The following is a 26,804-nucleotide window of genomic DNA, read 5'->3' on the forward strand; positions in this document are numbered from 1 at the left end:
CATATATTTTATTATTTTTTTCTTTTCTTCTTTTTTATTAAGAAACTTTGAAAAGTTGTTTTTTTTTTTTTTCCCCCAGGCTAGTCCAGTGAAGCAGTAGGAGTGGAGAAGAAACAAAGAAATCTGTAACTGGTTGTGATCAGTTAGTTGTAACCACTGCATTTGGACCAGCCAGGATAAATATATTTCAAACGTACAAAAATTTCAACAAACTTACTTCCAAGTATCGTGTCTTAAGAAGCTACTCGACAATATGCTCCACCACACCAGGAGAGAGAGAGCGCACGAACGCCAGGAAGGAACAGCTCCAACACAGGAGAGAGGTGAAGGGAATGCCCAGGCTGGTGGCAAAGGGGATTCTCCATTGGCCTGGAGAGTAACTGGTCCACAGAGCAGGAAGCTGAAAGGCTCAGGAGAGAAGTCTCTAGGAAAAATAAATGTGGTATATAGGAGACTGTGTTTGAGAAGCTGTTAGAGGAAAAGAGAAGTCTGAGCCAGGCACTGGTACACAGACTACTGTTAAAAAAAATTTAGACAAATTAAATTTAATAGAGTTTACCTGAGCCAAGGATAATTTGTGAAGCTGGCAGCCTCCTGAATAGGTTTATACATGCTGGGCACTGTCCTGTGGTTGGACAGGATTATGGACAGAAAAGGGAAAGTAACATATTGAGAATGGAAGTGAGGTACAGTAACGTACAGTAACAGTAGGACTGGTTACAGCTCAGCATTTGCCTTATTTGAACAGCATTTGAATGGCTGACCATCTGTGATTGGCTGAAACTTGGTGATTGATTACAAATATAGTTTATAGTCTGTTCAAACATCCAGTTAGGTTACAGTTTACTAAGTACGAAGAAACCTTTAAGCCAAATTTACAAGGAGGCAGCTTTAGGCTAATCTTAACTAAAAGTATTAAGGAAGTGAAAAAAAAAGGAAAGCAAGTATTAACCATACGAAAAAACTAAAGCTGAACAAGAAGGCAGCCATAATAATAGTGTTTACACTAAAAGCTTAGTCTTCACCACTATGCAAAATATCAATGTAACAAAACTGCACTGTACCCACTAAATTTATACAAATAAAAAAAGATATAGGGATGGGAGAAATAAAAGACAACATATTAAAAGATAGCATACTACTTGATTCAGCAATAAATAGTGTTTACATGGTCTTAATAAGGTAAACTTTAAATATTGATCAAACAAAATTGTGATGTTACTATCTAGAGAGGATAAAAGAGAAGTCACAAGAAGGGATTGGAGCGAGTTTGAGAGAGCTAAGTAATCATCCATTAGGAAGCCAATACCTCACTGATACTGGGGAATCAAATGAAAGCTGCACAAGCTTATTATTTAGAATCATGAAGATAAATACTAGACCAAATAGCCAAGAGAATTGAAAGTGGTGACAACTTGGCTAGGCTACTGAATATGATGGTGAGAGTTGTGCAATGCACAACCCCCCAGGGCAGTATTCCCATTATAGAGTATTTGAATGGTGCCTCCCCAACCAAAGTTGAGCTTTGCACAACCTGCCCAGCCTTACACAACAGCTCTGCCTCTTGTGGGCAAGGACCAGTGTTGGGACAGGTTGATGTGAGACTGGGACGGCTCTATTCAGTTGTAAACATTATAGCACTATTTGTCTTTTAAAATTATGTGTTTGATTTTTAAAAAATCTAAAGTAGAAAAGGGAGAAGACGAATTTTAGACATCTGAGATAGACCCCTTGGGATTCGGCAGCCTCTGAGGGATAGGCAGTTGGAAACAAGACAATGCAGAGAGCTGAGAATAATCAGTTAATTTGAGAGAGAAAAAAAAACAAAAACAAAAAACGGAGAAAGTTAGTATCATAGAAGTAAAAAAGAGATCTTCCAGCAGGAGGTAATGGCAACAGCGCCACATGCTGGTAAGTAGGAAATTATTCAGGCACTGGATCTCAGCTCCATCACTGAACTGTTGTTTCCTCATCTAAACAATGGTGTAATGATATCAACTTCACAATACCCTTTTATTGCTGCTTTTATGAGATGAAAGAGTGACCAAGTTGCTGCAGTAAGACATCCTTTTCAGCACCCAGTTTTGCGTCTTGACTATACTTTCCTCAAACTAAATATTGTTTAGGGAAAGGGTTATGTTAATGAAAATTCATTTTATTATCAAAATTATATAACTTCTTTCCAAGATCCTGGGAAAGATGTTTTCTCTTTTTAATTTGGCTGAGATTAGGCTTCAGTTCCTTGAAACAGAGAGGTGCAGTTGAGATTCTGGAGGCTGTTGGAGAATCCCATGGAAATTCTTTTTCCTTGAGAAATATCTGTAGGGGACTGTCAGCCTCTTGCTGGATGGGTGAAATAATCTCTTTCCTGCCGCAGGACTCAAACTACAAGATGAGCTTCCCTTCTCCAGTGAGTGGACACATAACAGAGACATTAAAGTGATGCTGTCTCAACTCAGCCCAGGCCTGACTTTCAGACAACACACATTGGATCTTAAGCCTAGAGGCATCTAGCCTAGAGCCTGAGCCCAAGAAAAAAACTGAAGAGTCTCTGAGAGGAGAAAAAATCTGGAGTAGAGTGCTGTTCCAACGTCACCAAAATCCCTGTCCTCTTCTCGCTAAAGCAAGAGGTCTCCCTACAGTGACAAGTCCCCATAAAACCATGAGGGCTGTTGAGTTGCCTTTGTTCTGATATCTCCCAGCCTCGGTTTAACAGTAATGACAACAACGACAATTTTACAGAGCGTACTATATGCCAGGTACTGTTCTTAGCACTTTACTTATGTTAACTTTTGTACAGATGAGAAAAATGAGGCCCAAAGGGGTTAAACAACTTGCTAATATTAGAGACAGTCCAAATATTAAAGGAGGTCCCTGAACACTGGCATCTCTACCATGTCTTTAAGATCCTCAGCATCCATTTGAGAGGTGGAAGTTTCTCCCCTCCTCAAAAACCTGCAGTGAGTTCCACCAAATTTTAGCATAGAGAGTATCCAGACTTCTTACCTTGGCTTTCAGAGTTCTTTATGACGCCTAACTTCACCTCCACTATTCTTATCACATTCCGGGAGTGCCTGCTACAATGAGCTTCTCATATGCCAAAAAGAGTGGCATATGCTCTGTAAGGCTGAGGAGAGAGTTTTTTGGGAAAGAGAGCATTTCAGGATCAAACATGTCATACCACACCTGCACCTACCCACTTGCTTGAGCCCAGCCCTCTCAGTTCTATTTCACCCAGACCCCAGGGAGCTTAATGCTTGAGTAAGGAGTTGGTGGACTAGGTGACCTTTGGGGTTCCATCTGGACTAAAAATAGAACAGCAGGCTTTCTATGTTCACTTCTGCCCATGTCTGTGGACAGTCCTGGATGGAGTAAGGATCGCTTTCTTTATATATCACCTAAAGACCAAGACATTTCTCTCTAAAAGCCTTCCAGCCCTCAGAAGTCCATATACACAATCTCTCTCTCAGACTAAGGGAGGTACGTAGGGGCCAGTGAAGGAATGAAGCAGAGTGAAGCTCTTAGGGATGGTGTACTCCTCAAGAACTTTTATACAGACTGAATCTGTACTGGCCAAACTGACCTCTCTTTTTTTGTTCAACCACAGTGGATCACTTGGTCTTTTTAAATATTTGAAGCACTTTCAACATTCAATGTCTTCTGTCAATTTCTTCCTTTTGCCTGAAGTGCCCTTTTCCTTTGGTTTTCTTGGCAAACTTCTGCCCTTTCTTCAAGGTTCAGCTTAAATATCACCTTCTCTGAGAAATGTCTTCTGGACCAGTTAGACAGTAAACCATGCTGGAGGCAGCAGTGGCATCTCGTCGTGAAAGTGAGTAGCCTTCCCAGATGTGTATGTCAAAAGAAGGCTGCTCTACATTAGGTAGAAAATGAGCCAAGGGAACATTTGTGGGGATAGCCACAGCACCCCCACACTCCTAACAAGACGCAGTTAGGGTTCCAATTGAACCACTGATTGGTGATCAAAGACTCAATGCCATTGAGCATGGCCACAATAAATTTAGCAGGAGAAAAACAAAGCAGGTAAAACTCTAACCTCAGCCCTAACAATTCTCAGTAGGACATTCACATAACACTTAACCTTGAGCAATTAACCCTTTTTTGGTGCGTCCTTCAAGGTTAACTGATTGTTGCATATATGCATCAGCAATGGAAGAATTAACTTGCCACATATGGTTAATCAGATGCAGTCAAATGTTAGAGGATTTCTGTCAAAACCAGTGACTTTTGTTACAGAACAGGTGAGCTACGTCTCTTTTGTAAGTCTATAATTATATCTATAATTAGATAAGGAGAACAATAATCTTTTAAGGCTATTTCTAATTCAGGACAGTAATGCCATTTAAAAATTGTTAATTGTGGTAAAATACATGTAACACAAAATTTACAATCTTAAGCATCTTTAAGTGTATAGTTTAGGAGTATTAAGTACATTCACATTGTTGTGCAATCATCACCCTCTCCAGAACTTTCCATCTTGCAAAACTGAAACTCTGTGCCCATTCAGCAATAACTCTCAATTCCCATTTCTCCTACCCCCGGCAACTATTTTTCTACTTTTTGTCTCCGTGAACTTGACCATAAATACCTCATATAAGTTGAAGTACCTCATATAAGTGGAATCATGCAGCTTTTGTCTTTTTGTGACTGTCTTACTTCACTTAGCATGCCTTCAACGTTCATCCATGTTGTAGCATATGTCAGGATTTTCTTCCTTTTTAAAGCTGAATAATATTCTATTGTAGCTGTATACTACATTTTGTTTATTCATTCATCCATCAATGGACACTTGGATTGCTTCCACCTTTTGACAACTGTGTATAACATTGCTGTGAACCTGAATGTACGCATTTCTGTTTGGGTCTCTGATTTTGATTCTTCTATATATATATATACACAGAAGTGGAATTGCTGGATCATAGGTATTTCTATTTTTTATATTTTGAGGAACTGTCATACTGTTTTCCATAGAAGACTCACCATTTTACATTCCCACCAACAGAGAACAAGCGTTCCAACTTCTTCCCATCCTCATCGACGCTTGTTATTTTCTGTTTTGTTTTAATTTTGGTAGTAACTATCCCAATGGTTGTGATGTGGTATCTCATTGAGGCTTTGATTTGCATTTTTGTAATGATTATTGATGTTGAGCATCTTTTCACCATTTAAACATAAGAGAATGCTTTGCATGCTCATTTTTGTAATGGGAATGTGTGCGTTACACCAGGGTTGTCAAGTCATTTACAATTTTTAATAAAGTTCTAAACACATCCCTGTTTATCTTGCCTGACTTGGATTATGCTAATAGAATCATCAAAATTACATTCTAACTTCTCAATTCTTTGGTCAGTCAAAGGTGTGTTCTGCATAAGCATCAACAATCGGGGTCAATATCAAGATTATATAACTTTTCTCATCACCAATTCCTATCCATAGAGTATACACAGGCACACTTGATTCTCTCCTATGGCTTTCAGAGGTTTTTTTTTTTGGTGGGGGGGCAATCAGAAGTCTATGATAAATGCATTTGAAAATTCCTGCATGGCCTCTTCTTGTTTCTGCTTTACATGTTTCTTCTCTGTCAAGCAAGGCACCAGGAGAGTAAATCCTGTATTTGCTAGAGCAGCGTGTGAATAAAATCATTTTAAGGTAATGGCAATTCATTCAGAGGAGATAAGAGGACAAACCTGTCCTTTGAGGCATTCAAGGTTTAAAAGGATCTTTGATAGTAACAGCTCAAATAGAGCTAAAAAAAGAAAAACTGGCACATTTGTTATCAGTCCCTTAACTTCCTCAGCATAATCATAAGGCCAGATGGGCTCCAGAGAAGCTATGCAAAGATAAGTAATGGAGAAAATGTATATTTTTTGCTCAGACCATGGCAAAAGTGGCTAACCAGAATATAAAGTAGACAATTTAGGTAGAAACGCAAGTCAAGTTCTCCTGAGATTTATTCCATGTACTGCTGTTTATTACCGCTGTATTCTGAGGAAAGTAAGGCTGGCAATATCTTTTTTTCCATTTAGGTTAATCAATCTATCTGTGAAAGAATTGTCTATGGGAATCCACTCATTCCCTAAAAGCTTGAAACAAGAGCTCATGGAATTCCTGCCAATCCTAGTGTTTAGATCTCCAGCGATGTTATTTGAACCTGGAAAATAAATACCAATTATCATCAAATTGTGTGTCTGAGCAGACAGGGTAGTGTGAAGGGTAAAACAGAGTCTTCATGCTGTCAGGAAAATCAGTCAAGGCCAGAAGAACAGTTCCCCATGCTGTGAGCAGAAGCCAGCTGAGATGAGGGGGGCTCATCCACTGTTAATACATTTTTTTTTTCTTGACAGCCAAAAAATAAATGGTCTAAACCTGTGATAAAAGAAAGTTCTAAAGTGAAGGGTGTCCACAGGCACATTAGTTTGAGAAGAACAATGGGCTGACCTTTTCAACTCTTTATTTTTAAGTATGCTTTAGATTATATTCTAGATCCAATTGGAGTTCATACACTAACAGTACAGATTCTGCCTTTTTAAGTAGCCCTTGAGTGGTTTCAGTTGCTTTTCTTGACTTGAGCATTTAAAATCCTTCAGCAACGAACCTTAAAACCCTCAGAAAATCTAATGACAACATCCCTCCTGTAGAGCCTCAGTCAGCCCTGTTTCAAGTGAGGACAAACATTGCCCTGGCCTTCAGGTAGAGCTGCATAACATGGGGATTCACAGGGCAAACACTCTGGAGTCAGAGCCTGTGTTTGCCTCTTGCCTGCCCTGCTTCCTTGTTGTGACACTCCAGGCAGGTTATTTAAATTATCTGTACCCTAATTCCCTCATCTGTAAAATGGCAATAAAATTATCATTATACTGACGTGTGTGCTTATGAGGATTACATGTGGTCATTCATATAAAGTACTCAGAACCCAGGCTGGTGCATGCTAAATGTTTAATAATTGTTACCTATTATTATTATTACTAATTTTATCATTATATAACTTATCCCGTGCACCCAGTTAGAAATCATGTCCCAGACCTGCCTGGCCTCATTCTTTTGGTCTAAGTAGGGTATGTCCAACCAGTTTCTGGAAATGAGGTATCTTTACAGTGTCCAGGTGAGGTCACCTGCCTTGAGGCAAGACTTACTGGTGACTTAGCCAAGGAAGAATTCCTTAGACTCTCTGAAATGAGAGGGTAGTTTAACAGATGGTGAATGTAAGCTCCGGGTCAAATTCTCCCTCCCAGCCAAGTGTCCATCCCTGAGACTGTGAGGGTCCTGTCTTGCACAGGCTCCTTCCAAGGCCCTGGGCAATGCCTGCCAATTTTATATTCATAATTTTATATTATTTTTATTAAAGGGTCTTCTAAATCTTTAGGCTTCTCAAAACCTGGATCCACTCCTACATAGGACTTGTCATAGGGAAAGAGCACTTTTTTTTTTTTGGCAGGACTTCAGTTGGCCATATTTCCTCATGTGGCTACTCTGAAGAGATCCCATTTCCAGGAACTGGGTGGACATACTGTACCTTGGGCCAAAGGAGTGGGGCCAGGCCTGTAAATAGACTCAACCCTTGTAGAAGCCATTTATAAGAAGTTGAGGTATTGTCAGTTTGGCCTAGGCTAGTGGTTCTCCACTTTGGGAAGGGGTGCTGGGGTAGAAAGATCAGATTTACCTCTTCAAACTATGCACGCTTGGCAGGGAGAGGCCTATCAAATTTTCTGCCCAGATAATTTTAATACACTCCCCCAGACTGACTGGCCCTCACTGAGTTGGAGTATGGGGCCCTACCTCCCTGGAATACAGTATGTTTTCTTTTGAGAACCTGTGGTGGATTCTGCGGTGCTCCCTAAGCTCACCCAGCCCCACCCTAGGAGCTTCACCTAGTGACAGTGTACACAGAGTCCTCCCCCAGCATTACCCTCCAGGGAAGGAACTTCCTTACCCAAGATTAAGCTGCCTGGTACATGCAAGTTTCTAATGAATAAAGGCCCAGCCCCCAGCCTCAATTTGGGATATGTATCTCTGAAAGGCCATCCCAGTTTCAGAGCTCCCTGGGGGACTAAGGCTTTTGTTTCAACTGCATCCCAGTTGACTTCTCCCTCCACCCTGTCCTGCTTCTCTCACTTCCTTGCAGGTGTTCTGAATGCCCTCCCCCAAAAACCTTCTGAATGCAAATCTGTCTCAGAGTCTGTTTCCCAGGGAACCTGATCCACGACAAACCCCCATCACACTGTCTTCCTCCTCCCCCATTCAGTATAACCTTCCCAATGCCCCTTATAAAGCACTCCAGAAGAGAAACATTTATAACTCTCAGAAATATGACAGATTCGTGGAAGACACATCACAGATACAAGAAGTCAACTATATCAATGTTTAGGTTAAAAAAATAAACTACTGAAATAAAAAGGACTCGTTGGAGATGGTTTAAAAATGAAGCAAAAAGCTTATAGATTAAAGAAACACATGTGAGATTAGGTAACATAGATGAGTTTTAAAATAAAAGACTAGCAGCTACAGTTTTTTTTTTAACTTCTATTTTAAGTTCAGGGGTACAAGTGCATGTTTGTTACAGAGGTAAGCTTGTGTCATGGGGGTTTGTCGTGCAGATTATTTCATCACCCAGGTATTAAGCCTAGTACTCATTAGTTGTTTTAAAAAGTAAAAAGAAATAAGAAATTGAGCTTTTAGATGAAAAGGTAAGACCTAGGATATGAAATGCTGAAAGCATACATACAGATAGGAGTTGAGAATTAGAAATAAAATTCAAGAACTAAAGGATAAAAAACGAATTTAGGAATGGCTTTAAAAATAAAAGCATTTCCTCAAATGGTTAAACATAGAATTACCATATGATCCAGCAATTTCACTTCTATGCCTATACCCCAAAGAATTAAAAGCAGGAGCTCAAACAGATACTTGTACACCCATGTTCACGGCAGCATTATTCACAATAGCTAAAAAGTGGAAGCAACCCAAATGTGGATGAGCAACATGTGGCATAACATACAATAGAATATATTATTCAGCCTTAAAATGAAGAAAATTCTGACATATGCTATAACATGGATGACGCTTAGAGATATTATGCTAAGTGAAATAAGCCAATCATAAAAAGATAAGTGTTTTATGATTCCATTTATATGAAGTACCTAGAGTAATGAAATTTACAGAGACAGAAAATAGAATGGTGGTTACCAGGGGCTGGGGGAGTGGGCAATGGTGAGTTAGTGTTTCATGTGTACACAGTTTCAGTCTGGAACCATGAAAAAGTTCTGGAGATGGATAGTGGTGATGCTTGTAAAACATTGTAAATGTAGGTAATGCCATGGAATTGTACCCTCAAGAATTATTAAAATGGTAAATTTTGCTATGTACATTTTACCACAATAAAGAATCACCCCCTCCCACCAAAAAAAACAAAAGTTCATAGATTAGAGGAAGAGAGAGAGAGAAGAGAGAGAGAGGAGAGAGAGAAGAGAGAGAGGTGAGAGAGAAGAGAGAGAGAGGAGAGAGAGAAGAGAGAGAGGTGAGAGAGAAGAGAGGAGAGAGAAGAGAGAGAGAGGAGAGAGAGAAGAGAGAGAGGTGAGAGAGAAGAGAGGAGAGAGGAGAGAGAGAGAGGAAAGGGAGAAAGAGAGGAGAGAGGAGAGATAGGAGAGAGAGGAGAGAGAGGAGAGATAGGAGAGAGAGGAGAGAGGAGAGAGAGAGAGAGAAAGAGAGAGAGAGAGAGAGACAAAGAGAAAGCCTAGCTAAGCTTGCCAGCTTTGGTTCTGAGCAGAACTGTGTGTGGTGGAGATGCAGTGCTCCTTCATGGAGGAGACAGAGACCAATACACGATGCCCCTACTCTCACCCGCCTATCATGTTCATGTTTCCGTCGAAGGCAAATTTTTCAGCTGGGTCTTCTAGCTACAGGGACCCTGCCTCCTGTGTTGGCCAGCCCCTCTGGAAACTTTTCAGGCATCTGCCATAATCCATGTTGACAAGGGAGAGACTCCTCAGGACAGAAATGAAGAGAGAGTCAAAGCCAAGATGGGTGGTTGTGACTTACCGACTTATTTTAACCAGCAAATTTGGGGGCAGTGGCTATTTTGAGCTGTGTCTGAAGGAAGTCTTTCCTGCACATAGGAATGCAAGTGTTGGCAGCCATCACTGTGGCTTCCTAACAATTGTTCCCTCTTTCCTGACATTCTTCCCATCCTGTAGTTCCAGCACTGAGAGTCCTTCCCACTGGGAGACTTGGGTTATGAAAATACTCCCAAAGAGGAAGCTGCTTTTCCAAGTATAGAGGAAGTGGAAAGGCAAGTGTGATCTGGATTCTACCTGGTTCTGTTCCCACATGAATGACTGCCAAGAGTTCCCACCCACTTGCAGCCAGTGCCAGAGTTTCTTTTCAGCCTCCAAAACTCTTGGTTTTCCAAGAAGTTATCCTAAATTAATTCTATTTATGATAGTCCATGATGACACATTAATCATTTGTTCACATCTTTATTCATTTGGCTAACTTTCATTCTACAAACATCTATTCAACAAATATTTATTGAGTGCCTAATATGTGCCACTGCACTGGGAACTATGTCAGGAAGCTTAGAGATTGATTCTAGCATGAACACTTTATTTTATAGTTGAGCATAAAGACCTAGAATTGCTCTATTCAATACAACAGCTACTGGCCACATGCGGCTATTTAAATTTGATTTAATTAAAATTAAAAAGTGGCCAGGCGTGGTGGCTCATGCCTGTAATCTCAGCACTTTGGGAGGCAGAGGTGGGTGGATCACCTGAGGTCAGGAGTTCCAGACCAGCCTGACCAACATGGTGAAACTATGTCTCTACTAAAAAATACAAAAATTAGCCAGAAACTGTGGCGGGTGCCTGTAATCCCAGCTACTAGGGAGGCTGAGGCAGGAGAATTGCTTGAACCTGGGAGGCGGAGGTTGCAGTGAGCCGAGATTGCGCCATTGCACTCCAGCCTCAGTGACAGAGCAAGACTTCATCTCAGGAAAAAAAAAAAATACAAAGTTAGTTTCTGAGTAACAGTCACATTTCAAGTTATCAATAGACTCATGACTACTGGCTGCCACGTTGGACAGTGCAGATCTAGAACATTTTCAGAAAGCTCTATTGGGCCACGATGGCTTAGAGAGTTAAGTAAATTGCCCTCGATCACATAGCCCTTCCAATCAAATTCTGTGAACAGCACAATTTTCTGTATCTTATGTTTCTACTAATTATATAAAAATGAAACTCATTTCTGTGTTGGACATCTCCTCCAGAAACTTCTCAAGCACCTGCCATAATCCATGTCGAGATGAGAAAGTGGGCCTGGTTGTAAACACCAAAATATTTGAAAGAAAATAGAAGAAAAATGGAGACACATGTACAGATATTTAAAAATTATACAGGTAGCTAACTCCAGCTAGAGTAAAATATCCACATGTCTGCCTGATTGTTTTTATTAACAAAACAAGACTTTTAAAATGTTGAAAGCATGGCTTCAATTCTTACCCTAGGCACCTGCCTCTAGTTTGATTGTGGAACCACCCCTTTGGCTTGAGGATTGAGGCAGACTGCTTCAGCAGTGGGTCTGCACAGGACTGTCTTGGATCTTGTTCTTTGCTCTGTATGTCCTGGGTGATTCCATGCCATTTCCAGGCATTAAAACCCATCGATAGGCAGATGATTCCCAAATATACATCTCTCTCCAGGCCTGCTAGCTCCTTGATCTCTGGATGACTTGGACTCTACACTTGGATGCCTAACAGTTATTTCAAGTCCACAAGTCCGAACATAACTCTTGATCTCACCCTGCCCTCAAACCTGCCCCTCCACCGTCTTGCCTTTCCCAACAAATGGTAACCCCTACATCAAGACATTCAAGTGAAAACCTACAGGTCATGCCGGATTCCTTCCTTTCCTTCATGTCACATTTCAAATCCTATTACCTCTACCTCTCAAATACATCCCCAACAAGTCTCTCCTTCTTTCCAGCTTCACCCCAGTGGTTCCAGACCAAGCCATCATCGTCTCTGCCTGGACTCCTCCAAAAGCCTCCTATACTCCATCCCTATACTCCATCCTTCCACTTTAGTAAGCTTCAAATCAATGGCCTACCTGGCCTTTGCCTTCAAAGTTAAAATGATAGGAAGTGAACAGCAATCACAAATAAGGATTAAGTTAGATTTAAAAGCAACTTCCTGTCAAATAGTGATGTGTGTGTGTGCGCACACGTGTGTGCACAGGGAGGTGGGTATTGACTGAGAAGAAGCATGAGGGAAACTTCTGGGCTGCTAGAAATGTTCTATATCTTGATCTAGGTGTTGGTTATGTGGGTGCATATATATATGCATATAAATTATACTTTAATTTTTAAAAGTTAAAAAAATAAAGAAAAGGAAAGGAAAGGACTTCTTGCCAAGATTTTAAAGACAGTTTGGCAGCACATAAAGGGATGTTGTGGAATCTACTTTCTTGGCTTCCTTTCAGAATAGGATGGGAGTCCTAGCTGCCTGGGGGTGTTCAGTGCCTAGAATTAAAGAGATATAATCAGAAATCACATTTGTTCTGCTTAATTCTACCCTTGGCCCTGTGTTAGATGCATCATGATGAATATTTAATGTGTCACTTAACATTTCATCACAGAAGAGTATTTAAGGACATTATGAATAATTAATATGCTGGGTGGAGGGATGTTTGAGAGTACCCAGCCTGGGTCACTTTTCACTGTGGAGCCAAATTACTGTGGGATTCTTTGGGGTCAAAAGCAGTCACCATTTGCCAGGCCTTTCCTGGATGTGTCCAAATACCACTGTGTCCTTCAGCTTCAGAAATAAGGCAGCCTAAAGCAAACCAGACTGTGATAAAAGGATGTGTTGTAAATTTACATTTATGGAGGAACACAGCAACACAGTCTGTGGCGCCTTAGAGAAGCCAAATTGACTCATGGCTTTCCTTTTCTCTCTACCCACTGACCAGCAATGGGAGACCCTGACCAACTGTCTGGCAAGCAGCTGAGTAGGCATGATGATCTGTGTTGTCATCTGCAAGCAGGCACTTGTGTTTGCCAGATTGGGTGAGTAGGAGTGCAGGGATCTTGGTGTGCCACACAACAGCACAGTAGTTAAAGCACGGGCTCTAGAGTTGCACCACCTGGGTTCACTGCCCGCTGCTGCCCCTTCCTGAGTGTATGACCTTGGGCGAGTTTCTGAACCTCTCTGTGCCTAAAGTTACTATAGGCAATAGCACCAGTGGCATGAGTTTTAATGATTTTAGATGTTAATGCATGTAATTAAAACAGTCCTTGGCACATGGTGTGATTTTTCACAGATAAACTGCAAACAGACAAGTAATTTTTTTGTAAGAACAGTTCACACTTTCAGATCCACCTGACCCTAAGTGTGTGTTCTAAACCACTATTCTTCACTTCTTCCCTGAAAGCACTGAACTCTGATAGAGGTGCGCTGGGCACGATGGTGTAGGGGAAAGAAAGGAGTCCTTCTGGCACTGAGTTATACCTGCATACTGTGAGCCAGAGTTGAGGGGATGGGAATGGCATCCCATGACCTGAATTCATGTTCTGGCCCTGTCACCACCCAGCTGCGTAATCTTGAGCAGTTACTCACCTCCTGGCCTCAGACTCCTCAATTGTGCAGTGGGGAGTTGGATAGGATCCTCTAAGATCCCTCTGACCCTGGCATTCTGCCATTCCAATGTCCACATTCAGCCCTACTCATAGCAGTTGCTCTGGTTTGGGTACGTGGCTCTGATGGGGAACAGAGGCTAAAAGGGCTGCTACTGGGTGAGTATGTCTGAAGGCACCTCAAATGACAAATGTATCTGAGCATATCTTTCTCCTGTCCTCGCCAACACTGATTTTTCCAAGTCTGGGATTGATGCATTGCTGAGATGGAGAGGGGAAGAGTACACAGTGTTCTTCCCCGAGTCCACAGAGGGCAGGCCCTTGCAGAGCTGTCTGCTTTGTGACTCCTCCTGGGGCTTCAGTAGGCACAATGTGCATACTGTCATCTGAAGAGGTAGGCAGGAGGTGGGGGGAAAAGTGAGGAAGCAATATTCTCCCTGGCTTGAAGGCCAGGAACCGAAGCTGCCTGATTTCTAGTCACAGTTTTGCTACTTCTTGTCTCTGAAACCCTGAGTCAGTCCCTCCTGGGGCCTCAATTTCCTAATCTATCAATAAAGATAATCTTATCTGAGGCTAGTCTGGCGTGTTAAAGGGCACAGGAAATCTCCCTGCACACTATCTAGTCCTATAACATGGATGTGGTTTTCCTCTTCTTGGGAAATTTCTGGTGCTCACAGAACTGATTTACAAATACCTCCAGCTTTTGGGATGGAGACTAAAAACCTTGCTTCTCAGGAGCACAGTCTTGCCACAGAAGCTGGAGTATCTAAGAGCACAGCCATGACTTTCTACTTGACATCAAGAGCAGGATTTGGGTGAGGAGCATGTAATTCGATACTAAAACATGAACCCAGCAGGAAAGACAGTGTGATGGAGACCAGAGCCCTGTGCTTGGCATTGGAGGTGCACAAATGAATAAAGGCCAATGGTCCAAAGAGAGAGAGAACTTGGTTAGACAATCACAGTCTATGATGGAGAAGTACAGGTGCTTTGGGTGCACTGAGAAGAAATATCCAAACTGGGAAGTAAGGTTGAGAGAGGGAAGGGAAGCCTCCTCGAGAAGGTGATGTCAGAGCTGAGTCCTGAAAGATGAGTAGGAGTTAGTTGGAAAATACAGGTTTTAAGAAAAGGAATTCAAAGCAGAGGGTACTGTATGTACTGAGGGCAAGAAAGACTGGCTATGCTAGGGAAAACAAGAAGTTCAGAATGGCTGGAGTATAGAATCATGCTTCTGGGGATGTGGAAGGAAGGAAAAAGGAGAAGGGAGAGAGTAGCAAGAGAAGAAGCAAGGGAGAAGTGCTCCCTGATCTCAAGGGAGAAGAACAGAACTTTATTCCGGTTCCCAATTTAAAAATGCTTTAAACAGGCTGGTCATGGTGGCTCACGCCTGTAATCCCAGCACTTTGGGAGGCCGAGGGGGGCAGATCACAAGGTCAGGAGCTCAAGACCAGCCTGGCCAAAATGGTGAAACCCCATCTCTACTAAAAATACAAAAATTAGCTGGGAGTGGTGGCGGGTGCCTGTAGTCCCAGCTACTTGGGAGGCTGAGGCAGGAGAATTGCTTGAGCCCAGGAGGCAGAGGTTGCAGTGAGCTAAGATCACACCACTGCACTCCAGCCTGGGTGACAGAGCAAGACTCTGTCTAAAAAAAAAAAAAAATTCTTTACACATGATGGCCACAGAGGGTAAGAGATTTGCCCATGGCCGTGTGGGGAAACAAATGACCCAAAAATGTGTTGAGGGTGGGGTAGGCATGAATGTGTTGAAGTCACTGCCCTTGAGAGTGCCTGCCAGAGATTTCCTACCTTGCTGAAGGTGATCACAAGAGTGATTGCATAGCAGGTTAATAATATACTAAACGCAGAGCAGTCTACAACATTCCAGATGTGCTACATTTCTGTGCCAGCAGAAACTAATTAAACTCTGTGAATGGGAAGTGTGTGTGTGTCTGAGAGCGGAGAGCAGAATCAGACTAATCTGACATTTCACACTCTTTCCATGACCTTGGCAGATAGCTTCCATTCAGCCAATCTCTGTTCCCCACTCTTCATTCATATACCTTCCTAAGGCTTGAGCAGCTAGCATTTAGAAATGGTACAAATTCCAGGTTTTGTTTAAAAACAAACAAACAAACAAAAAAACCCTTCCCATTAGGGGCTGCCGTTTGACAGGAGCCATTACTTTCAAATCTGAGAAACCAAAGCCCAGACAGGCTTTGTAAGGTCCCCAGAATAGCGCTGCCAGGCAAGGGCAGCTCTGGAGCTAGAACCTAGGCTCCTGTGTCCTAGCCCGACACTCTTCACCCTGCACCTGCCAGGGGTAATGGTGTTGTCTTACAAGGTCTGTAGTAACAGTGATGAGGCCAGAAAGTGATGTCAGCTGTGCGGGGACCACTCTGGGCCTTCTCTGCACCGCCATAGATAACCCCACCTAGGAAACCCCTTCAGAGGCCCTGGAATACAAAGACTCCTTGACCTTCCATCCCAAACTCCACTCTGATCTTTGTTCCCATGATCAACATGACTTAAAAGCTACACTACATGAGGAGGACTGGGCACGTGGGGATGCGATTTTAGGAATTATGCCACTTTATGCCAGCGAATGAAGGACTGTCCCAAATTCTACAACGAAATCCTCCGTGAAGCGGGCCCTCAGCTTGAGCGCAGGCTTTGAGGAGGTCTAAAACGTGAAGCTCTAGCGCTGCAGAGAGGAGCAGCCCCTCACCTTGGGTCGCTTTCCTTCCCCGTCCTTTGTATCAAATGCTCACGCCCAATTCGCAGGGGCGACGGGAGTGAATCCAGCCTGGGTCCTGCCCGGCCGATGGCGCTGTTCCTCCGCCCCCTTCCCTCAGCCCATTTTCTCCTCATCAGGCAACAGAAATGTCTGAACACCTGCGGGGGCACAGACTGGGGTGAGAGGCCTAAGCAGGCAGAATGTCTGTAATTATAAAGTGCTGTCCAAGATCCTAGGCCAAACCTCGGGGAAACGGAATAGGAAGAACTGCGTCCAGGCCTTGGGGAGGATTCTCCACGCACACGGTGAGGTGTTTGGCGGCTCAAGGGTCTCTGTGGTGAAGCGCTGCCCTCTGGTGGTAAGAGGTAGAAATGACCACGTCTTCTTGGCCTGGTTCCAAGAGCATCAGAGACGTAAGCATCAGAGACATAAGCCCCAAATCTGAGCTGGGCTCTTGAAATCCTCTAGGAAAGGGTCTTGTTCCCACTGACTTTCTGCAAAGAGGAAAAAGAGAAGTGTGCAGGGAGGTGGTGGGGAGAAAACGCTGGACTGGTCACCTGGACGCTCAGCTTGCGGTTGTGTAAACAACTGCCAGCTTTCCCTAAAGAAATGGTTCCATCTAGCTCCTGAGGTCCCACGGGGCTGGAAAGAGCTGAATGTTTCTGCTAATGGAGTTTATGTGGCCACTTCTTTCTACCTTCCTCCAGCCCCTTGGTCCTCGATATTTCTCTTCTGCTGTCCCCTAGGACTAGGCCTTGTCAAACTGTGTCAGAGAAGAGTACTGGTGAATTGAAAGAACAGGATCATTAGCCACACTTGTGGGAGGACTTCTGCAGGTAGGTCAGGTAGAGTCCATGCTATGTTGACTCGCTTTGAAGTTAATAACCATAACTATTATTACAGGAGATTTTGGTAAACAAACACAAAACTTTAGTTAGAAGGAACAAGTTTAAGAGGTCTATTGTACATCACAGTGACTGAAATTAATAATAATATATTGTATACTTAAAAATTGCTGAGACAGTAGATTTGAAATGTTCTCATCACATAAACATAAGTATGTGAGACAATGGACATGTTAAATGGCTTGATTTAGCCATTACACAATGTATTCATATATCAAGATACATTGCGCATAACAGATACATATAATTTTTACTTGTCAATTGAAAAAATATATCCATAATAGCAAATTCTTCTGTGTGCTTTCTTCCTGCCAGGCAATACTCTAACCTACTGTCATATGCTTACTCCTTTAATGCTTACAGCGGCCTTATGAGGTAGGTAATGTTCTACTCCATTTTACTGATGAGGAAACAGGCTCAGAGAGGTTAAACAGCTTACTAGATAGAAGCAGAAGATCTAGCATTTGAGCTATAACACCTCGAAACTACTCTCGTATCCTGTTTCTACTATTTCTCCTGACACAAAACAGTAGGTCAGTAGAGTCAGAGAGCCTGGGTACAGAGAGGTAATTAGAGTTAGAGGCCAGAACTGCCTGAGGAAACCATAGGATTCCTGGATCCCACAAAGGAAGAGGTCCAAGGCGGAGTGGCCTTTCTGAAACAGATTCTGCAAGGAAAGGATCATCTGAGATGGACCTGTCTGAGTGCCTGTCTTTCCAAACAAGGTCATAGTAACCGTGGCTTCCACAAGGTGAATCAAGGCTTGGCAAATCTTAACTTGGAAGCTCTTAACCTCCTTAAGAATAGGGATTGTTTTAATAGTGACCGGTGTCTAAGAGTTCTTTGTGCTTGGTTGGTGCATAGTAAATGCTTGTGGAATGTAGGATGAATAGCAATAATAGCTAACATTTAATGAGCAATTACAATATGCCAAGCACTATTATCAGAGCTTTCCATGCACTATCTCATGTAATAGTCACAATATACCTATGAGGCATAATTGTTATCATAATCTCCCCATTTCACAGATAAGGAAATTGAGGCACTAAAGATTAAATTGCTTTTCCAGGTCACACCGAGAATGGAACAAGTATTTTACTTCAGATAATGTGTGTTTGTCTTCAATGTCCAGTTTCTTAACCTCCATGCTATGGCGTTTTTCTGGGTCAGAAGGAAGAGAAGGAATAAGAGAAGAGGAATAAAAAAATCCTCAGGATGCCTGTCCTGGACCAGCAGTTCTCCACCAGGGGACCATTGATAGGATTCTGATATTTGAATTACTTTTTGGGGGGGAGAAAGTCATAATCATGCAGACAAATTTTGTGTCCTTACCAACTATTGAGCTGAGTGCCTTTAGACCTCAGAGCTCCCTTATGAGGTAAGTACTACGATCACAGCCACTTCGCAGAAGAAACTGAGGCATAGATGGGTTAAGTAACTCTCCCAAGGTCACCCAGCCAGTAGGTGATAGAGCTGGAATTTGAACCCAGGGTATCCGGCTCCTGACCTGGGCTCCTGACCACTGTGCCATACTGCCAGAGCCTTTGTTAGAGTCGGAAAGGAGACTGGAGAGCATACACATATCTAGATCTATTACTCCAGACAATCTTAGAGGGAAGTTAGGCCTTTTCTGCTTTTCTCCTAGAAAACCTTATAGGAACAAACAGACAATACCTCATTATTTTATGGGAAAATCCCAACCTAGAGAGAGGTATTTCTAGCCCAGACTCAGTGTGGAGGACACGTTGCCCAAGTCCTGGAAGATAAGGAAAGAACAGAGCAATGTGAATGAGACTACAGAACTGCCAGCCTCAAGCAGGGTTCACCTTCATCACTGCCCTTTTCCTGCTGCTGCTTGGTCTGGTTTGACTCTGTCGCCCTCATGTGGTGTATACGGGGAAGTGCAGGAGCTTTTCCCTTTTGATCATCACAGGTAAAAACCTGAGAGTGAAAGACTGGTGACCAACACAAAGATGGGATCCCAGTTGCTCATAGGATTTGCATCTTCCTCCTTTTTCCAGGGAAGAACCCCTTCCTAAGCACAAGTTATCCAGCTGTGACACACGGTGAGGATGATTCTCCAGGAATAAAATTGTGTTGGTTACAAGTCCATTTTTATTATTGCCTTGGTATGTCCATTCATTGCTGCTTTCTCTGCGAATGGTTAAGATATTCTTCTAGGTGACACAGAGGAAAGGAAACTGGCTGTATAAGAGATTCAGAGCCTGGGACAGAGAGTTTTGGGGTTTTTTGATTGTTAAATTCAGGCTACAAAGTAAATGGTGGAATCCATCCATGGTTTTGAAAGGAGCAGCCCTAACTGGGCAGTAACCATGATGCTGAGCATCATTGCCTTGTTTTGTAGAGGTCTCAGGTTCCTGGGTATGCATTATTTTTGTGGAGATTTAATAGAGGTTAAATAGAGGCTGTCTTCTTGAATCACGAGTTGTTTTTCTAGATGAAGAAAGCAGAAAAAAAATACCAGGCAGAGCCAGGCACAGTGGCTCACACCTGTAATCCCAGCACTTTGGGAGGCTGAGGCGGGCAGATCACCTGAGGTCAGGAGGTGGAGACCAGGCTGGCCTACATGGCGAAACCCCGTCTCTACTAAAAATACAAAAATATTAGCCAGGTGTGGTGGCTTGTGCCTGTAGTCCCAGTTACTTGGGAGGCTGAGACACGAGAATAGCTTAACCTGGGAGGCGGAGGTTGCAGTGAGCTGAGATCATGCCAGCCTGGTGTGACAGAGTGAGACTCCATCAAAAAAATAAAAATAAAAATAAACCACTAGGCAGAGTGAAGGGTAAGGACAAATGCACAGAAGTGTGAAGGGGCAGTGAGCAATGCAGGACAAGGGATAGACTGGTTGGGGACAGCTGAACAGGTGGGTTGGAGCAAGAGTTTTCAGGGTTTGGGGAGTCAATCTGAAGAGATGAATAAATAAAATTTGGAAACTTTGATAACTGGGAGTAATCTTTGTATTCTCCTTACCAAGGGGCATTCATGTAGGTTAATGTAAACTAATGGATAAACTTCTAAGCTAAAATGTTGGTATCAGTTCTTGATGAGGGAGCAAGTTGATAAGAAGCCTTCCTGTTTCTCTCAATTCCCACTATTTAGGTGGGAATCCACTTTATTTCTACTTCGTCTACCTTAATTATAATGGATGCAGTAAGAGACAGAAGACAGACCCCATCTCTACAAAAAATTTAAAAAATTGGCTGGGCAAGGTGACATGCATCTATAGTCCCAGCTACTCAGGAGGCTAAGGTGGGAGGATAGCTTATGCCTGGGAGGCTGCGGCTGCAGAGAGTTGTGATCATGCCACTGCACTCCAGTGTGGGTGACAGAATAAGACCCTGTCTCAAAACAAACAAACAAATAAACAAACCAGAAAAACAACAACAACAACAACAACAAAGAGAGATGGAAAACATGCTGTTTAATGAAGGGAAGGGTTAGAAAATCTGGGCTTATTTTTTGATATATTATTTAATATCTGTGTGGCACTCAGTTATTATTCAACTTCTCTGAGCTTATATTTTTCCATTGGCAAAGTGAATAATACCTGACTTACAGCATTAAGAGGATTAAATGAGATACTGCATCATTCAACAAATGTTTATTGAGCATCTACTATGTGCTGGACACTGTGCCAGGTCTGAGAGATTCAGTCGCCATAAAGCCTTCAAAACAGTTGGAAAAAGTACAAATAAACGAATTACAATGTGTGTGTGTGTGCGTGTGTAAGAGCAGAGGTGGGAGTGTAAACTTGTTGAGGAGTCAGGAAAGACCTCTTGAAAGAAATTCTACTTAAGTTAAAACCTAAAGAGAGATTGAGAACTAGCTAAGTAAAAGGGTGGAATGGAAGTTCTTGCAGATAAAGAAACCAAGATGATAGACACTGAGACCATGTTATCTTGAAGAATCCAAGAAAACTGAAGTATGGCTGGAGGGTAGAATGAGGAGGGTAATAGGGAAAAATGACATTACAAAGGTCATGAAAATTCTTCTAAATCATGATAACAATATTATTGTGATAACCAACATTTATTGCCTATGATGGTGGGCACCATGCTGTGTGTTTTATGTGTGTTGTCTTTAATTACAAGTCTGAACCCTCATACCAAACCACAATAAAGCCAAGCCACGTATCTTTTTCCTGCTTTCTCAAGCCATTTTTGGGCCTGCTTGGACCTGCTCTGCTCTCCCCAGAAAGCCTTATTATATGAGTCATGGACCATTTCGTACCCTTTGGTGCATGTTTGGCATCATCAATCTGAACCAAATTTGGAGTGGAAGTTCATTCCACTCTTGCAGACTGATCACAACCTTGTCTCATTTAGAGTTTACAGTGACTGTATGAAGTAGGTGCTAGAATTATCTCTGTTTTACAGATGACAAAACTGGCTAAGACATTAACTAGTCCAAAGTCACATAGTTGAGAAATCATACATGGATACAAACTGAGATCATCCTAACTCTTGAAGCCATGCTCTAAGCTGCTTTGCTCTACTATTTCCTAGGTAAGGGACTTTGGACTTTATCTTAAGGCCAATGAAACAACATTGAGAATATTAAGTAGGAGAACAATATGATAAGTTTTGCATTTTGTAAAGGTATATCTGGAATTTGTGTACAATAGAGTGATTTGCATTGACATGTATAATTCCCTTTTCACAAAAACAGATAAAGTAATTAAGAATAAAATTTTACCTAAAATATGAGCCTTGTGTAAAGAAAGAAGGCAACATTCTCAGGTGCCAGAAATAAAGAAGGATCACAAAACTTAAGGGAGCATGGAGCCAAAGTTGAGTACATTCAGGGTACTCGATGTCAGGGTGATGAGATTTTAATGGCAACAGAGAGATGGTTGATGAGACCCAGGGCCTCTGCATGTTAAAGAGCTGGAAATGAACCAGCCATATACAGTTGGAAGTTACTGGTTTATGAAGGAAACTATGAAATTCCTCTGTTTCACAGCTCAGAGATACCACAAAGCAGCTTGATAGGCTCATGAGAAGATAGAAAAAATTAATGCAAGGAAATTAACCCCTCAAGCTGGTTCAGCATACATGATCTCTAAATTGCACACCACACAAGTATAGAAATCTAGAGTCAAGATACATTGTAAAATTCCTCTGGAACCAGTGAAATTCACAGAATCGCAGCAAAGGAATTTGAAACTGCCCCACAAGATTGTTCCCAGGTACCAGGACCTGAGGGTCTTCCATGGAAAACAACTCTCTTTCAAGAGGAGCTCATGATTTAAAAATATTGCAAGTCACATAAGGAAACAAACTGATTAGAGAGGGAGTGGTAGAGTGCACATACAAACAGCTGCAGTTAGTAGAAAATAAAAAAGGAGAGTCTTTAAGTCAGATAAGCTCAAAGAGAAAGAGAAAGGTAACTTCACAAAGCAAGAGGAGGACATTGTAGGAAAGGAGTCAGTAAATCGAAAAAGAAACAAATCTAAATTTTAGAAATGAAAAATATAGCTAATCAAATTTAGAATTAAATAGATGGGTTTGTAGACTGATCAAGAGAGAATTGGAGGAGAATGATGTCAGCAGGATGGCCAACTAAAAGCTTCTAGCGCTCATTTTTCCAACAAAGATAGCCAAATAACACACAAACAATCATGTTTTAATAAAAACAACTAAAGAAGAGTGGCTGAGTATGGCAAAGGAGTAATAGAAACCCCAGTGAACACGGAAACTGAGGTTGACCACACAGAGAGCAAAAGGAAACACCTGGTCTTCACCACCCCACCTCCCAACCAGAATCAGCTAGAAACCAGGAGGAACCTCTTTTTATGGTGCAAAGGTAGACAAGAGGATCCCAGTAACTGCCATCAACTCTTTGGACACCTACACTTCTCATCACTGGGGTCCCCCTGAAGTCCTCACATGCACTAAGTCCAGCTGAGGGAGCTGCCTGGAGTCTGCAAATCTGTGTTCCCCCCAGAGAAGGAGCTGCCACTAGGCCCCATCCCCTGTGGCCTGCATAGCTACTGTCTTACCCCATTTCGGAACTGGAACTACTGCTGGAGTGTCTTGCTCCAAGGGAGAGTAGCCATGGCTCTTGTCCATCCCTGAGGCTAAACCACCTTTGATCCATCCCTGCCCAGTGGCCTAACATCCCAAAGCCAAGCTTCAAGGAACTGTTACACCTTTGCCCATGGGGCTGAACAGCACCACCTACACCTCCTCTCTCCCCCTTCAGCTGGAGCTGAAGCTGCACACTTCCTCCTAAGAAAACAGTGCTTTAGCAGAATAGCCCCATCTACTTCTCTCGGTTATGGCTGTGCCCTGCCCCTAAGGTCCTGAACTGAAACTATGTGCTGCCTCTTGAGGAAACAGTGCCTTGGCAGAGCCCCACGTCTCAGGGAAATAGTGCCTGGCAGCCCAGAACAGCCACCCTCTATGCCTGAGCCTGAGCTGAAGTGGCACACAAACCCCTGGGGAATTGGTGCCCTGGAACCTGAGCAGCTCAGGGCTGAGCTGACGTAGTACCCCATGTTCCAGGGAAACATGGCAGTGACTGAGCTGAGACACTCTACCCTACAGGCTAACCTACTCTAATACCTTGCTTTCCTGGCATTAGACTAGTCTCCTGGAGTCTGAGCTGCCAAGAAAGCCCTCTCTCCAGGGAATGCAATCGTCACTGTGCTGCTCCCCTGACCCCCAGGGCCCAAACGACAGATGTGTTTGACCACTATGAAAACTTGCTGCTGCACCTAGCCTCACAGAGTCTGGGATACTACTGAGTCCGCCATCCCGGAGTCACCACTACATGTTGTCTCATCCCCAGGGACCCAAGTTTCCACTGAGCTCCATTGGACCAGGTTCCCAAATTGCAGATATACCTTGCTCTCTGTACCCTAAACTCCAGAGCTCCTTTTCTTCCCTGGAGTTGGATATACCCTCCACACAGGGGTAGACTCACAGCTAAAACCAAACTCTCTGGGTCCAAGCTTCTAGGGGTTTCCTCAGAGTCACAGATCCTGGCTCTGCAGGCAAATTACATCCAACCCTGCCATAAACAGTGAACCTGCACCTCAAGACCCAGATGCCACAATAAGTTCATGAGACTCTGTGGGAAAATTGAAAGTAGGAGGACTTCAAGCACCCACAAAGAAAGAATTTTAAAAATAACAAAAGAAAACATCAAGTCACGTATAAAGAATCCCCATTAGACTAACAGCAGATTTATCCTCAGAAATCTTACAGGCCAGGAGAGAATGGAATGACATATTCAAAGTACTGAAAGAAGAAAAAAAAGGCAGCCAAGAATACTATACCCAGTAAAGCTATTCTTCAGAAATAAGGGAGAGCCAGATTTGGTGACATATGCCTGCAGTCTCAACTACTCAGGAGGATGAGTTGGGAAGATTGATTGAGCCTAGGAGTTCAGATCAGCCTAAACAACATAGCGAGACCTCATCTCAAAAAAAGAAAAAAAAGGAAAAAGAAATAAAGTCTTTCCCAGACAAGCAAAAACAAAGGAAATTCATTACCACCAGACTGATCTTATGAGACATACTCAAGGGACTCCTATATCTGGAAGTGAAAAATGATAATCATCATTACGAAGACATGCGAAAGTATAAAATCACTAATAGACACACAAATGAAAAACAGAGAAGAAATAAGCCTTATTACTACAGAAAACTACCAAACTGCAATGATTAAACAATAAGAGAGGGAGAAAGGGACAACAGATATACGAAACAACTAGAAAACAATTAACAAAATGACAGCAGGTCTTACCAATCAGTTATAACCTTAAATATATAAATGGCTTAAACTCCCCACTTAGAAAAAACAGACTGGCTGAATGGATTTTTGAAAACCATCTAGTATATGCTCCTACGACATAATACTTCATCTGTTAAGACACATAAAGATTGAGAGTAAAATGATGGAAAAAGATATTCTCTGCAAACAGAAAGCAAAAGTGAGCAAGACAGTAGATAAAACAGACTCTAAAACTGTCCAAAACTGTAAAAAGAAACAAAATCATTAATAACGATAAAGGGATGAATTCAGCAAGATGATATAACAATTATAAGTATATATGCATGCAACACCGGGACACCTAAATATATGAAACAAATAATATTAGATCTAAAAGGAAGAGATAGAATCTAGTACAGTAAGAGTTGGGGACTTCAATTCTCCACTCTCAGCACTGAACAGATCGTCTACACAGAAAATCCGTAATGAAACATTGGATTTAAACTGCACTTTAGACCAAACGAACCTAACAGACATTTACAGAATATTTTACCCAACAGCTGAAGAATACACATTTTTTCTTTAGCACATGGAACGTTCTCCAGGATCGACCATATGTTAGGTCATAAAACAAGTCTCAACAAATTTAAAAGAATTGAAATCATATCAAGTTTCTTTTCTCAGCACAACGGAATAAAACCAGAAATCAATAACAAGAGGAACTTTCAAAACTGCACAAACACTTGGAAATTAAACAAGATGCTCCTGAATGCCCAATGAGCCAATGAAGAAATTAAGCAGAAAATTTAAAAATTGATTGAAACCAATGATAATATAAACACACTATATCAAAACCTATGGGATACACCAAAAGCAGTATTAAGAGGGAAGTTAAGTATTAAGAGGGCAATAAACAACTACATCAAAAAAGTAGAAATATTTTAAATAAATAACGTAACAATGCATCTTAAGGAACTAGAAAAACTAGAGCAAACCAAACTCCAAAGAAGGAATAAAGAGAATTAATGGAAGTGCTCTTTGAAAAAAAAAAAATGACCCATGATGCAGCAAGCAGAGGTGAGGATATAGAAAAGAAAAAGAAGAGACAAAGAGTATAGAATGCCAAGTATCATCATGCATCTGATGAAAAATACAGGGTATTTCTTGTTATAATCTCAGAGTGTAGTAGGACTTTCAAACTATAATTAAAAACCAGAGGACATAAAATAAACCCACCCCAACAAAGTCAAATTAATTACAAGCTAGGAAAATGTATTTGCAATTCATAGCGTATACAAACGGCTAATTTTTGAAACATATTAAGATGCCAATAGCCCAAGAAGAAAATGAGTAAATTTAAATGAGTTAACAGAAAAGGAAATTAGATGGCCCTTAAACAAATTTAAAAGATGACGAATTTCACTCATAGTAGGTAGTATTTATTAAGCACGTCATATGTGCCTGGGTTGGTGCTTTACATTCCCACAACAACCTTTTGTTGAAGTAGGCCCTCTTCTTATCTCCATTTTATAGGTGAGGAAACTGAAGCATGGAGAGGTTAAGTTTTCTCAAATACATTCAGCTGGTGGTGTGATGAGGCTTCAAACTCAGGCAGCTTGACCATAGACACCACCACTTCTCTATATTGTCTCTTGGTATTTTCACTGAAATATAAGTTAAATGCAACCTAAAATATAGTAAGATACATTTTATTTGACTCCCAGATTAACATGAATAAAAAGCTGGATATATGTTGGTGGGGATCCAGAGAAACAGACATTCTCGT

General features: G+C 41.9%; 1 long non-coding RNA gene across 1 annotated transcript, besides 1 other annotated feature; it reads right to left on the reverse strand.

Moving 5' to 3' along the window:
- Nucleotides 1–194: 194 nt before the first annotated feature.
- LOC105378901 (uncharacterized) lies at nucleotides 195–10,011 on the reverse strand. The gene is made up of 3 exons (XR_001737801.2): nucleotides 9,856–10,011; nucleotides 3,007–3,127; nucleotides 195–424 (listed from the first exon to the last, which is right to left on the reverse strand). It is a non-coding gene; the product is annotated as an uncharacterized LOC105378901 (long non-coding RNA).
- Nucleotides 23,221–23,560: an enhancer, noted in NCBI's record as "active region_1475". NCBI's record gives its function as "activates an Ori minimal core promoter by ATAC-STARR-seq in GM12878 lymphoblastoid cells {active_cell/tissue: GM12878}" and the evidence as "EXISTENCE:reporter gene assay evidence [ECO:0000049][PMID:35858748]".

This window comes from Homo sapiens, chromosome 1, assembly GCF_000001405.40.
Source record: "Homo sapiens chromosome 1, GRCh38.p14 Primary Assembly".
Classification (NCBI taxonomy): Eukaryota; Metazoa; Chordata; class Mammalia; order Primates; family Hominidae; genus Homo; species Homo sapiens.